Source organism: Homo sapiens, chromosome 1, assembly GCF_000001405.40.
Source record: "Homo sapiens chromosome 1, GRCh38.p14 Primary Assembly".
Taxonomy (NCBI): domain Eukaryota; kingdom Metazoa; phylum Chordata; class Mammalia; order Primates; family Hominidae; genus Homo; species Homo sapiens.
The window spans coordinates 169,849,624-169,863,918 of record NC_000001.11 but is presented as its reverse complement, the minus strand read 5'-3'; the positions used below and the strand labels follow the sequence as shown (position 1 = coordinate 169,863,918).

Sequence of the window (14,295 nt, the reverse complement as noted above, 5' to 3'; positions counted from 1 at the left end):
ACAATTTTATAGCACTAGAGATGGTAACAACAGATGAGAGAATATAGTATTAATATGACACTAGAATTTTAAGTTACGTAGAATCCTGCTTTCAGAATTTATTTTCTTAAAGGGATCTCAGTCCAACAAAGCATTGTTACAGTTTAGAATTTCCTTATATCTCTACTTTGATACCATTCTCTTTAGCCATGAATTTTTCTTTATAGCTCTTACATCCTATTCCTCAGTAGGTCTTACATAGGGGTGTGCCTCTGAATCACCTATGTTGCTTTTTGAAAATTTGCCTCTTTGCTTGATCCATTGGTTCTAGAACAGAGAGCCAGGACATAGGTATACATATTTTTTAAAAGTTCCCAAATAATTCTCAATACATACCTGCCTGATAACCACTACCATAAATACTGGAAAAAGAGGAGTATCCAGCATCAAAGTCCCACTGTAGCATTTAACACCTGGTTTTGCAAATAAAACTACAACAATATCAGTATGTCACAAATCTAGTGTATGAAATTCCTCACTGATTAAACATAAATTTATAAAAAGTTACTCAGAATTCTGTTAAAATACAAGCTTTGTTGTACACTATGATCTCTAGTATTTCAAAAACTCTACAAGGTAAGTGTACTTAACATAATTAAGCGTTAAGTAATTTTCGGTCAAGAAAAGAACTTTGCTTTGGTTTGGAGCATTAGAATTTAGAAGAATACTGGCCGGGCGCGGTGGCTCACGCCTGTAATCCCAGCACTTTGGGACACCGAGGCAGGTGGATCACTAGGTCAGAAGTTTGAGACCAGCCTGGCCAACATGGTGAAACCCCATCTCTACTAAAAATACAAAAATTAGCCGGGCATGGTGGCGGGTGCCTGTAATCCCAGCTACTCGGGAGGCTGAGGCAGGAGAATTGCTTGAACCTGGGAGGAGGAGGTTGCAGTGAGCCGAGATCGCGCCACTGCACTCCAGCATGGGTGACAGAGTGAGACTCCATCTCAAAAAGAAAAAAAGAATTTAGAAGAGTACTTAGAATATGTGTAGTTTTGGGTTCAGTGTATGAATTATGCTTAATACTTTTCACTGAAATGAAAATTTGTTTTTTCATCTGTAACCTTTGATTTTTCGGGTAGATCATGCGCAGGGAGAAACTCCTTGCTTGCTCTCACCAGCCCTGTTCCAGTCACGGGTGATCCCCGTGCTTCTCCAGTTGTTTGAAGTTCATGAAGAGCATGTGCGGATGGTGCTGCTGTCTCACATCGAGGCCTACGTGGAGCACTTCACTCAGGAGCAGCTGAAGAAAGTCATCTTGCCACAGGTCAGAGGCCAAGTTTGCAGTGGGGTAGTCACAGAACCTGAGGGAAGAGTGCTGAAAGAAAGAGTTTTGGAGGTATTCAGATAATAGCTTAGAAAGCCTTCAGGCAGCAGTCTGTGGAATACAAAGTGCTGAAATTAAAATTGCATTTCCATTCCATTCACACAGGCAAATTGATTAAACTGACATATTTGGTCTTAACCTGGGAGAAACTATAATTGTTTGTTAATTTTGGGAGGGTAAATGAATAACAATAATGTATGGAGCACTTTGTGAACATAACATATAATTATCCATAATTATTATAAAGTAATTAAATTAGAACAGAGAGGAGCATGAGATGATTCTTATCAGTGGCTTTCAGCCTGTTGTTATCAGCCACTAGGGAACCTTATTATGATTTGCCCACCAAAGGGTTTTGTTAGTGAAACTAATGAAAGGTTTGTATTAGTTGCTTAGGCTGCCATAACAAATTATCACAAATTATAATGGCTTAAAGCAATACAAATTTATTTTTAGTTCTGGAGGCCAGAAGTCTAAAACCAGGGTGTCAACAGGACCCTGCTTCCTCTGAAGGCTGTAGGATGTGAAAGGGACTCCTCTTTACAAGCTTCTCGTAGCTCCCAGCAATCCTTGGTATTTCTTGGCTTGTGGCTGTATCATTCCAGTCTCTGCTTCTGTTGTCACGTGGCCTTCTTACCTCCTTGTCTGTCTTTACATGGCCTCTTAGAAAGACACCAGTCATTGAATTTATGGCCTACCCTAACCCAGTATGACCTCATCTAAAGGTCACATTCTGCATGGACATGAATTTTGGAGGGACACTATTCAACCTAGTATGAGGTTTTAAAAAAATTGTTTTAAAAGACTACAATCACATGGTGTCTTTCAAATAATTTTCCTATGAGATAGATTAACATTCTCTCTGCTTTCAAGGAGCTCATAAGTGGGACATGTTTCAGTCATCCGTTGCCATGTAAGTACCCCAAAACTTAGTGCCTTAAAATAATAATCATTTTATTAATTCTCATGATTCTTTGGATTGACTGGACTCAGCTGAAGGTTCTGTTCCACATATCAGCTGAGTCTTCAGTCATCTGGGGCCCGACAAGGGTTGACACATCCAAAATGGCTCCTTGGTATCTTGGAAGGGGTGGCTGAGAGGCTGCGCCTTTCTCTCCATGAATTTTCAGGAAGCTTGGGGGGCTTGTATCCCCCCATGTGACATTTCCACATGATTTCTCTAGCAAGGCAGGTGGACTTCTTAAATGGCTGGCCAGGGCTAAAGAAAAAAAAAGGGCAAAAGAAGCCTTCTTAAAGTGTAGGTTGTGAACTGACAGTCATTTTTGCCTCATTCTCTCGGTTAGAGTTGGAAAAAGCCCAGGCTCATTGTGGGATGGGTTTACTCAAGGGCATGGATACTGGAGGTGTGATTCGCTGGGGGCTGACTTTAAAGTCTCTGTGTTGTAGTAACTACAACATAGCACTTTGTATTTACATCTGCAGCAGTAATTGTTACCCTGTATGTAGTTGTGTCTGGAAATTTAGAAGAGGAATGAAGCACTTTAACTCTGAAATGGAGTTGTCATCATAGGTCTCAGAATTGGACTGAGGTCAAAGAGTAAATGTTGAGCATGTGGAAGACAATGAAACCTCTCATTACTTAGGAAACTGCTTCCCCTAAAGAAGAGTGGGCCAATTTGTGTGTGCTAGAAAGTTCACTTTGGTAGCAGTGTGGAAGAGACCACAGAAAGGGAGATAAGCTAGGAAGCTGTTAGAATAGTTTAGCTAAGAGATGACAAAGGCTGGGGAAAGTGTGACAGTGGATATAGTAGAGGGACACAGAAGGGGTAGTACTCAGTTTCTCATTAGATGGAAGAGGTGTTGAGGATGACCAATTTTTGGCTTGGGCGGATTGCTGTTTTATGATTATCATATTCAGTGGGCAGAACTCTAATCATATGTAAAAGAAACATGCTTTAGTTTACATGTACAGAAAGTGATCTGTTAGCATTGGTCCTAATAATTATCTTTTGAGTCCTGTTGGAAACCTTTAATCTTACTATATAAATGAGGAAACCAGGCCAGAAAAATAAAAAGACCAATTGGTCAAGTCACATTGAGAATTATTAGCAGAGCTAAGACCAAAACCAAAGATTCCTGATACCTGTCACGCCCTGCTGCTTCCAGTAGGCAGGCCAGTTACCCTGGCCTTGTGTCTGGCTGGTGCAGATGCTTTGAAGGTCATTTCCTTCCTTATATGCAGAGCAGTACTTGCCTGATATCTGCATGTGACTGTCTTCTAAGGTGTTTTTGGTTGCAAGTAACTGAAACTCATTTTAAACCAGCCAAAGCAAAAAAAATTTAAGAATGTTAGACTAACTTAGATGGAAATCAAGTGCAGCTGGGGCTTACAGCCATGTTTTTCATTCCTTTCTTCTGTCTGCATTTGTTTGACTTTTGACTCTCTGAAGACCAGCTTTCCTTGTTTTGGTGTGCACATGGCCAAAATGGTTGTCCCATAACTTCCAAGTTTTCTGTCCTCATAAAAAAAAATTATTTTAGAGATGGGGGTCTCACTGTGTTGCCCAAGCTAGAGTGCAGTGGCTCTTCACAGGCATGAACCCACTACCGATCAGCCCAGGAGTTTGACCTGCTCCATTTCCAACCTGGGCTGGTTCACCCCTCTTTAGGCAACCTGGTAGTCCCCAGCTCCTGGGAGGTTACTATATTGATGCTGAATTTAGTGCAGACACCCAATCAGCATAGCACACTACAGCCCAGAACTCCTGGGCTCAAGTGATCCACATGCCTCAGCCTTCTGAGTAGCTCGGGCTACAGGCACTTGTCCCTGCCTGGCATACTGTCCTCATTGAGTAAACCTATATAAACTGAAAATATAAATTCTAGTTTATATTACTGGACAAAAGATCATGATGGGCTCAGTTTGGGACAGGTGGTCCTACCCTTGAAAAGAGCTGAAAAGAGAAGCATGGACAGGAACATAACTGTTAGTACCCTAGATGAGTTCTGAGTGCGCTCTGCAGAACACTGCCAGTACATGAACTTTTTATTACAGTTCTGTGATGTGAGTACAGATATGAAGACTTAACATTTAAAACCTTTTGTCGCAATTTGACAGAGTAATTTTATGTACCCAACATATGTCTTTTTAATTTTGTTTTGATTGTATTTTTTAAAAATGGTAAGTCTGTGATGGATTGGGAGGGGAAGATACTGGTCTTTTACCACAGGTAGTTTGAGAGCCACTGACCTGGAACACATATCTAAGATAATGTAGTTTATCTAAGCACAATCTGTTTGCAGCCCAATTGCTCATTTACAGGGGAAGAAAGAGATAGGTATTGTGGTTGTCAACCCTTATTACCTCATTTGCTCCTAGGTTTTGCTGGGCCTGCGTGATACTAGCGATTCCATTGTGGCAATTACTCTGCATAGCCTAGCAGTGCTGGTCTCTCTGCTTGGACCAGAGGTGGTTGTGGGAGGAGAACGAACCAAGATCTTCAAACGCACTGCCCCAAGTTTTACTAAAAATACTGACCTTTCTCTAGAAGGTAAGAATTATTAAAAGGTCTAACTTTTTGTGTGTCATTTTTTTAGATTTTTAGTATTATATAAGTAATGTAGGAGGGTCATATTCAGTCAAATGATATAAAGAAGTATAAATAAAAAGTTAATTTCTCTTTCTGAACTTCTCGGGGGGATTTTCAGTGGGAATCCTTTCATACTTTTTTTTTAAGCTTGCAAAAAGACACACAGATATATGTTTACACGTGCATAGAGAGTCATGTACCACATAAGGACATTTTGGTTAACGAAGGACCTCGTAAATGACTGACTGTCTATACCATGATGGTCTCATGACATTATAATGGAGCTGAAAAATTGCTATTGGCAGTTGATGTTGTAGCTGTAGTGGAATGCATTACTCATGTGTTTGTGGTGATGCTGGTGTAAACAAACCTAGTGTGCTGCCAGTTATATAAAAGTACAGTGCATACAATTATGTGCAGTACATAATACTTGGTAATGATAACAAATGACTATGTAACTGGTTTATATATTTACTTTTAATCATTAGTGTATTCCTTCTGCTTATTAAAAAGAAAAAACTTTAACTGTGAAACAGCCTCCAGGGGTCCTTCAGGAGGTATTCCAGAAGAAGGCATTGTTATCAGAGGACATGACAGCTCCCTGCAGACCTTCCAGCGGAATAAGCTGTGGAGGTCAAAGACAGTGAAATTGATGATCTTGACCCTGTGTAGGCCTAGGCTAATGTGTGTGATTGTGTCTTAGATTTTAACAAAAAAGTTTCAAAGTAAAAATAAGTAAATAATTTTAAAAACAGAAAAAGCTTACAGAATAAGGATATAAGAAAATATTTTGGTACAGTTGTACAATATGTTTTAAGCATAGTATTATTACAAAAAAGTCAAACAGTTAAAAACATTAAAAAGTTTATAAAGTTATAGTAAATAACATTATTGAAGAAAAATTTTTAATAAACTTAGTGTAGCCTAAGTGTAGTGTTTATAAACTGTATGGTAGTGTACAGTAATATCCTAGGCCTTCATTCACTGGTAACTCAGAGCAACTTCTAGTCCTATAAATGCCATTCATAGTAAATACCCTATACAGGTATACCATGTATCATTATATTTTTACTTTTCTATGTTTGGACACTCAAATAATTACCACTGTGTTATAATTATCTACAGTATTCAGTACAGTAACATGCTGTATCAGTTTATAGCCTAGGTGTTAATAGGCTATACCATCTATGTTTATACAAGGACAAAATCGTCTAAGATGCATTTCTCAGAACATGTCCCCATTGTTAAGTGACACAAGACTGTGTAGGATTTTTGCTTAAATGGTAAGAAAATGCCATGCACAAATCTATAATTTGTTTTCAAGTAACAACATATCAGGGACCTGTCTCCCAATACATAGAAGTCTAACTTACTCTTTGAAAGCTACCTAATATTTCACTGAATATAATTCATTCAGTGATTTCTTTATTCATGGATACTGCATCCATTTCTGGATTTTTAATCCCTACAAACAGTGCTGCAATGAATATCTTTACACGTGTATCTTTCCAGTTGGTCCCCCATATTTGCAGGTTTGCACCTGCAGATTTAACCAACTGTGGATCAAAAATACTCAGAAAAGAAACCAAAAAATAAAGGTATTATAAGTAACCAAGAAATGACTTAAAGTATTATGGGATGATATGCATAGATTATATTTAAATACTACATCATTTTCTTTAAGAGACTTGAGCATCCGCAGACACTGAATGTTAGAAGTAAACTTGCTGGGCCAAAGGATATATTTTAAATTTAGTAGATACTGTCAGCTTACAAAAAGGTTGCATCAATTCTTATTAACACTAGATGTTTAAGTTTCTTGTGACTTTTGTTGGCCTATGGGGTAAAAAGCTGTTGCCTTTTAGATACTGCAGGAAGTCCTTATTTCTGGTATGTTCCCAGTGGATGTTACCTGGGAGGTAGCAGTAATTTCTGGTCTTACAAGAATTTTTTATCAACAATGTCATTGCTCCTTTGTGTAGCCTTCAGTAAGACAATGAACTTGTTATGTAATTCTGGATCTCTAACCCAGTTCTCATTGATAGTTGGTAACATGGAGACATTTAGCAGAAAAGAGTTAATCAGATAGGCTTTTCTCTAATTTTGATGCTAAAAGAATTTTTAAAGCAACATTGGCTTCCTGAAGTTTTAAAGAGCGTTCACCTCTTCCTTGGTGCTAATGAAACCAGCGTCATGGCTGCAAAGAGCTTGAAAAGGGTGATGTAGAGGCTGTGGTCTCATTTTCAGCTATGAAAGGGAAATAGGAAATTAAGTCTGCCTGAAAGAGAGGTGGAGAACATGGTTCAGAGAAGAAGACATCGGATAAGGCATTAGATAGGACTTCAAGGAGGATAGTGGCACAAATGAGTGGAGGGCTTGTAGAGGCCTGGCCTGAGTGCTGGGGTGAGGAGGGGGGAGATGTGGTGCTGAAGAGAGCTGGGGACCTAATCGTTAAGAGTTTACCCCAGGCTATTCCCCACATCCTCACTTTTTGGCCAAAAATTGATTGACCAATGCCCATTTTTTTAAGTATAAACTTTCTGGCAAACTGTTAAGGACATTTCTTGAAACTAATTTTTTCCCCAGTTGGGGGTTAAATGTCCACAGCTTAAATTTATTATTTTAACTACTTTTAAGTGTATAGTTTTGTGGTATTCACTACATTCATATTCTTATGCTTATACTCTTCAACTTTTATTCTTAAAAGGAAAGTAAGTAGAATCAGTTGGTTTTAAATCTCCACCAACATGTTTTGAAGGGCTATAACTTTTTAGCTAGGTGTCCCAAAGGTTATATCTGTGTAATGCTTTGATCCATCACCACATGGAGTGGACACAGCCTGTTCTTAAACACCTCTAGGGACAGGCAGTCCATTCCATAATGGGTGTATGTCTTCAAATGTTTGAAGATGTTCTCTCCTCCATTTTATCCTTTATATGTATAAAAATATACCCATTTCACTTAACTATGCCCACCAACCATGTGATAGATCAAGAAGCAATTTACTGTCCCTTTCATGTTTTGGAGTTTTTATTTACCTTCAGATTCTCCTATGTGTGTCGTCTGCAGCCATCACAGTCAGATCTCGCCAATCTTGGAGAACCCCTTCTCTAGCATATTCCCTAAATGTTTCTTTTCTGGCAGCACGCCCATCAACAGCAAGAAGCACATACAGCGAGATTACTACAATACTCTTTTACAGACAGGTAGAAATATTAAATTTATATAGCTTTTCCATTGCTTGGATGAATGTTTTCCTGAGACTAATAAGCTTATGGGTGTTTTGGGAGTTTTGAGACTGATTTATTTGTAATTATGTAGTCAGCTTTGGTCTCATCTTGTTTCTCCAGACTATTGGATATATACTTACCTCCTCTTTATAGTTGGTGAGAAGTGCAGGTTGACATTACTTGAATTCTTTTTTGCACTGATACTTTACTTTGAGACTTTTGTTGCCTTAGTGCAGCATCTTCCAAATTGTACCAAGAATGATAGTTTTGAAAGATGTTAATGGGCGTGTTGTGAAAAAGAGTTCTGTGGTTAAATAAGTTTGGGGAAATGAGAGCAAAGTCATTAACACATTGCACAGGATCTCTCAGTGCCTTAACTACTACACTTAGGGAAATTTCTTAAAGTGAGGTTAATAAGTTGAGTTAGGCAAACTTATTTGAGCCTGCAAGACTTTTTCAGGCATATGTAATTAACAAACATCCCAAGGATAACACTGCCTGGCTTAGAGCATTTCTATATTTATGTGAATATACTGTATGTTTGGATATTTAATAAGGATTGAATGCACTAGTTATTACTTACATGCTTCCACTGAGTTAATAATGTAAGTATTATGTAATTATTTGGATAACATGTGACATCGTTGATCTTGAGTAATGTTCTGCTGGGATCTCTTTTGTTTAGTATGCATGGATATTTCCAAGTAATTAGACCTATACTACTACACTTCCTTAATGCTATCCTTCCCATAAGTGTAGTTCTTACCTTTAACCAGTATTTTATGAGAATAATTATTTTCCCTACAGGCGATCCATTTTCTCAGCCTATTAAATTTCCCATAAATGGACTCTCAGATGTAAAAAATACTTCGGAGGACAGTGAAAACTTCCCATCAAGTTCTAAAAAGTCTGAGGAGTGGCCTGACTGGAGTGAACCTGAGGAGCCTGAAAATCAAACTGTCAACATACAGATTTGGCCTAGAGAACCTTGTGATGATGTCAAGTCCCAGTGCACTACCTTGGATGTGGAAGAGTCATCTTGGGATGACTGCGAGCCCAGCAGCTTAGATACTAAAGTAAACCCAGGAGGTGGAATCACTGCTACAAAACCTGTTACCTCAGGGGAGCAGAAGCCTATTCCTGCTTTGCTTTCACTCACTGAAGAGTCTATGCCTTGGAAATCAAGCTTACCCCAAAAGATTAGCCTTGTACAAAGGGGGGATGACGCAGACCAAATCGAGCCGCCAAAAGTGTCATCACAAGAAAGGCCCCTTAAGGTTCCATCAGAACTTGGTTTAGGAGAGGAATTCACCATTCAAGTAAAAAAGAAGCCAGTAAAAGATCCTGAGATGGATTGGTTTGCTGATATGATCCCAGAAATTAAGCCTTCTGCTGCTTTTCTTATATTACCTGAACTGAGGACAGAAATGGTCCCAAAAAAGGATGATGTCTCCCCAGTGATGCAGTTTTCCTCAAAATTTGCTGCAGCAGAAATTACTGAGGTGAGTACTTTTATGGAGTAAACTGTGCTACTAGCTTTAGGATTTCCCTCATAGGTCCTAGTTGCAGTATCCCATTTATAACAAGCAACATGCTATTTTCCTAGTCAAGTCAAGCACAAAATTAACAAAATCAGTTTCTATCATTGGTATCTATCTTTCCTTCCCCCAGAAAAATGTAGCAATGCTTAGTTTGTTTAATGAGCTATTGTAACCTTTTTATTTGAAAAAGAAAAAAAAGGGATTAAAATAAGGATTTGGTGTCATCCACACTGATTTTTACTGGATTTTATGGTTTTTGAAAAGCTATTTTCCAGTGCCATGGTTTTGTAATCCTACTTTTCAACTTTCTGTTAGAGCTCTAAGTTATTTTACTTAGTACGAGGTAGTGTTTCTGGCATCAAAAGATAAATTTTAAATTCCTGCTTTTTCAAATTTGCGTATGATTTTTGCATATGATTTGTTTCAGTGGGTTCTTGGTGTGCTTTATTTTGTTGCAGGGAGAGGCTGAAGGCTGGGAAGAAGAAGGGGAGCTGAACTGGGAAGATAATAACTGGTGACAATAGATGTGAGTTAAACTTTAGGAAAAAGGATTCCCTTTTTTTAAAAAAAATCAATACCTCAAAAGCAGGCTTTGGGACAAGAAAACCCCAAAGTGGCCTGCTTTTCCCATCCCAGGAGCTCATTATCCAGTCTGTGCCAACTGAAGTAGGAGACTGACTGTGAGTGCTGGCTAAAAGCCCTGGGTGGTGAGGCTCACAGTACTGGTTTCCAGGAGGAAGAGCCTTTGTGCATTTGACTGAGGCCAGTTTCTATGAAGAGCAAGTAGCTGAGGAGAGGTCGAATTTACTGCTTTTTCCAGGACAATTCTGGAAGTAAAGAAAATGTAATTCAAGCTGGTTAGCTTAATTTTGTGCCATTCTTTAACATAAGAGTAAGCTCTATTATGAAATACAACTTTAAAAAATTTTAGCTATAAATTATATAAATGATTTTAAATTGCTGAGGTTTCCTTAGGCAGCTTATTTATTTGTTTACAGTTAGACTATCTGAGTAAATGGTTCTTTGTGGACCTAGGCAGTTCCTGACTGTTCCACATGTAGTACATTGTACCAAAGTTCTTAATAAGAATATTCCCCACAATCCTGTTCTCTAAATGTCAAATAAAGATTATTTTCACTAGATTCAACTTTACAAAATTTGTTTTATATCTGTTAGAAAATGTACAGACATAAGTATTTTCAGTTGACAAAGCATCAAACCCAGTTCTGCCTAGTGATAAGTTTCACCCTAGAGTATGTATGTAACGTTTTAGCTTATCCATCCTTTCTTGGAGCGCCTCCATTTCCATTGAAAGCCAGGCTGGAGCAGGACCCTTTTGGAGTAGTGACTCAGTTGCTTCCAAAGCCCCTGCTATTGTATGCAGCGCTGACCTGTACTCTTCTTCCCAGGGGAACTCCTGACGAGCTCTTTTTGCATAAGGCTGGAAAAAAAACATAAGTAATATCACAATATCCATTCTAAATATAAAGAACCTTCCTTTTGGACTGGAGTAAAGCTTACATGCAAATTTTATTCTAGTCATTGGATCACAAGGGTAGGAGGATGCACCCCAAAACCCCTACACAGTCATCTAGAAAAATATGTAAAGGCATTTTGGTTTATCATAGCAATTCAGAGTGCTACTACCAGTGTCTTAGTTTGTATGTGGTATACAACAAGTATCCTGTCCCAAAGGGCTCCCAATGAGAAGTGCTGCATAGTCCAAGCTTACATGTCTTATAAACAAGTTCATAAATGTATTTTCTTTTTATGAGAGTTTGACTAAAACTTATCAGAATGTTGTTCTTCATGAATTACTACTATACTAATTACTATACTAATAGTGCTCAAAACAATATTTTGAATATCCTTATTGGTGTCAAATTCTGCCTTTTAATAAGTAGATGTGATCTTCAGTTACTGCCAAAAATTATTAGGAGACTCATTTGATTAATAAGGCAAGGAATCAAACTAAACATTTAGGAGTAAGTTTCTTTCATTTTCTTCTGTGGTTCAGTAAAGACTGCATTTATAGCATCACTGGTACAATATGTAACTTCCCTTAAAGGTTACTACCAATAATTCAAACATACTGAAAGAATATATTTGATATGGTGTAGTCCCACTTCTTAATTTTAAAAGCAACTACCATAAAACAGAATTTTACATGTCTAGATCTATTTGATTTGAAATTCAGCATAAGGCTGGAAACCACACTGGTTTGTTTCGTCAGTAAGTAAAAAGGGCAGAATTTGCCTTGTTAAAGTTTGGCCCCTATTGAAATCAGCCCATACCTGTAAAGATGACCTCTTTGCTTCTTCTACAGTCACATTAGCAAAGGGTTCCCAGAAAATACCTTTTTCCTGTTTCACACGTTCCACTTTGGCAGCTTCAGTTTCATCTACAAACCCAGTCTGCCAGGGACCATGAAAAACCAAGCAAATAGCAACATGTTAGCACTCTACTAGATATGAAATGGCCACATAATTTAAGTGCTGAGTGTTCAACCATACTAGGCAAATTCTGGAAGTCACATGGACTGATCTATAAATACTCTTAGTATAATCTGGATTAAATCACTCTACTGTGTTCTTCCTTACAAAATAGTTAGTTATAGAGTTGTCTTTGCAGGAAAAAATGATAGTCTGCTAACCTTTACTGTATAAGCTAAGAAACTGGCAACAGCAGTGTATACACATGTACTTAAAATCCAGCTTAGATGTAATATAAGTAGGCCAAGTGTGGTGGCTCATGCCTCTAATCCCAGGACTTTGGTGGGAGGAATGCTTGAGCCCAGGAGTTTGAGGTTATAGCGAGCTATGATCACACCACCACACTCCAATCTGGGCGACAGAGCGAGACTCTGTCTAAAAAATAAAGTTCAGTGAGTCAAGTGGGCCCATTTCACCTAAAAAAATATATATGTAATATATGTAAAATATATAACGTGCATCATTACATGTAATATATCAAATAATTCAGTTTCTCCTGGTAGTCTAAATTTGTGGTTTAACAGTTCCACTAGTATTTCAATTAACTATTATTTCCTCACACTAAGTTCCCAAGTATGCATAGACATAGGAACCTTGTGATTCAAAATTTTGGTTTTAATTGTAAAAACAGGTCTTGGCTGCAAAGAGAATAAAAAAGCCATGCCAAAAAAAAAAAAAAAAAAAAAAAAAAAAGGGCCCTGAGCTTACCCTGGCTTGGGAGGCTGCCCAAATAAAAAAAAAAAAAAAAAAAAAAAAAAGCCATGCCTAAATTATACCCAAAATATGGTAGTAAACATCCTCTCAGGCCTACCTAATTATGTGATCAAGTGTATTTAATTATGATTATTAATAGCTTAGGGATCCTCATTAGTCATCTCACTGCCTGGATAATCAGTGCTATTACACCCCAAACTACAGGCAGAGGAACTACAAGTGTCCTTTTTTGAGACAGTCTCACTCTGTCGCTCAGGCTGGAGTGCAGTGGCATGATCTTGGCTTACTGCAATCTCTACCTCCCCAGTTCAAGCAATTCTCCTGCCTCAGCCTCCCGAGTAGCTGGGACTGCAGGCGCGTACCACCATGCCCGGCTAATTTTTGTATTTTTAGTAGAAACAGGGTTTCCCCATGTTGGCCAGGCTGGTCTTGAACTCCTGACCTCATGATCCACCCACCTTGGCCTCCCAAAGTGCTGGGATTACAGGCATGAGCCGCCGCGCCTGGCCCCAAGTGTTTTACTTCTGTGGCCTCAATTGCTTAGTAAAAGTCGTCAGCACTGTGCTCAGCACTGTGAAAAGTTTAAGCTAAGAAGACACTCAGGTTGGTTACAGTTACATAATTTCGGAAAAAAAAAAATAGGACAAAGAATAAAACATGAGCCATGTAAAGAAAGTACCTTCTCCAGAAAGGATACAACTTTGTTCTTAGTTTCTTCAGAACTGAGACACTGTGGAACTATCTCTTCATGATTTGTTCCCTATTAAAAAATTGATGAACAAGACCAATTTTAACATTTCAACAACTTGCAAAGACAAATAGATGAGTTTTATGAGCTACCTTAACCAAAAATTCATTTTAAGTAAGAGTCCCAGAGGATCCTCAAAGGTGATAAACTCATGATTCCTTCAGGGTCCCTAAGGATAATACAAAATTAACTTCTGTACAAGTGTTGTAAGCTTTAATTACTTCTGCTGGGTCATACTAATGCTTCTGGACTCCCTTATGATCATAGGCATGACTATACAGCAAATGCAGTAAGAGTAAAGGAGCAACCCATCTTACAGGTTTAGGTTCATCAGCCTAACCCTTATGACTGATAGCACAAAATGAAATGTATTATCATTTGACCCAAAAATACTATCTGCTGGAAGACTGTGTCTGTGTCTGTCTGTATCAGTAGGCCTGCTGTGTATGCCTGTTCTGGTCCTTGTTTATTCAGAGGACCTTACGAAATTCACTTCATTTATCTAAGCCTCATTTTGAGAAGCTGTAAAAGAGATAACGAGTAATGTACCCTTCAGACAATTTTCCGATTGCAATACAGAAGCAGTTCAATAAATGTTTTGGGATTGTTCTGGAATATTTGAAATATTAAAATGGTTTGAAAGTCACTGTGAT

The 14,295-nt window shown here is 38.3% G+C and overlaps 2 protein-coding genes and 1 pseudogene across 28 annotated transcripts in view, besides 1 other annotated feature; 1 reads left to right on the top strand and 2 right to left on the bottom strand.

The window, feature by feature from the left end:
• Positions 1 to 14,288, top strand: part of SCYL3 (SCY1 like pseudokinase 3) — a 44,638-nt gene extending 30,350 nt beyond the window's left edge. For 4 of the 8 annotated variants that reach the window (XM_011509801.2, NM_181093.4, XM_006711465.2 and 1 more), the window contains 5 exons: positions 1,122 to 1,306; positions 4,707 to 4,878; positions 7,962 to 8,123; positions 8,955 to 9,649; positions 10,147 to 14,288. In XM_011509801.2, the coding sequence (XP_011508103.1) occupies positions 1,122 to 1,306; positions 4,707 to 4,878; positions 7,962 to 8,123; positions 8,955 to 9,649; positions 10,147 to 10,206 (1,274 nt within the window). In that variant the 3' untranslated portion in view covers positions 10,207 to 14,288. Of the gene's footprint in view, positions 1 to 1,121; positions 1,307 to 4,706; positions 4,879 to 7,961; positions 8,124 to 8,954; positions 9,650 to 10,146 lie in introns of those variants that run through there. The other 4 variants (XM_017001863.2, NM_020423.7, XM_017001862.2 and 1 more) reach the window with 2 other exon arrangements.
• Positions 2,922 to 3,122: a silencer, noted in NCBI's record as "peak450 fragment used in MPRA reporter construct". NCBI's record gives its function as "represses an SCP1 promoter by STARR-seq MPRAs in K562 erythroleukemia cells {active_cell/tissue: K562}" and the evidence as "EXISTENCE:reporter gene assay evidence [ECO:0000049][PMID:32103011]".
• On the bottom strand, positions 3,867 to 4,163 carry RN7SL333P (RNA, 7SL, cytoplasmic 333, pseudogene; annotated as a pseudogene).
• FIRRM (FIGNL1 interacting regulator of recombination and mitosis) overlaps positions 9,839 to 14,295 on the bottom strand; it is a 70,244-nt gene continuing 65,787 nt past the window's right edge. For 17 of the 20 annotated variants that reach the window (NR_159440.1, XM_047424760.1, XM_047424762.1 and 14 more), the window contains 3 exons: positions 13,574 to 13,654; positions 11,983 to 12,102; positions 9,839 to 11,129 (listed from right to left, as the gene is read on the bottom strand). Coding sequence is in view for 18 of the 20 variants with exons in the window: in XM_047424760.1 (XP_047280716.1) it covers positions 10,932 to 11,129; positions 11,983 to 12,102; positions 13,574 to 13,654 (399 nt within the window). In the remaining 2 variants the exon portion in view is untranslated. Of the gene's footprint in view, positions 12,103 to 13,389; positions 13,482 to 13,573; positions 13,655 to 14,295 lie in introns of those variants that run through there. The other 3 variants (NM_001366770.1, XM_017001723.2, XR_921872.2) reach the window with 3 other exon arrangements.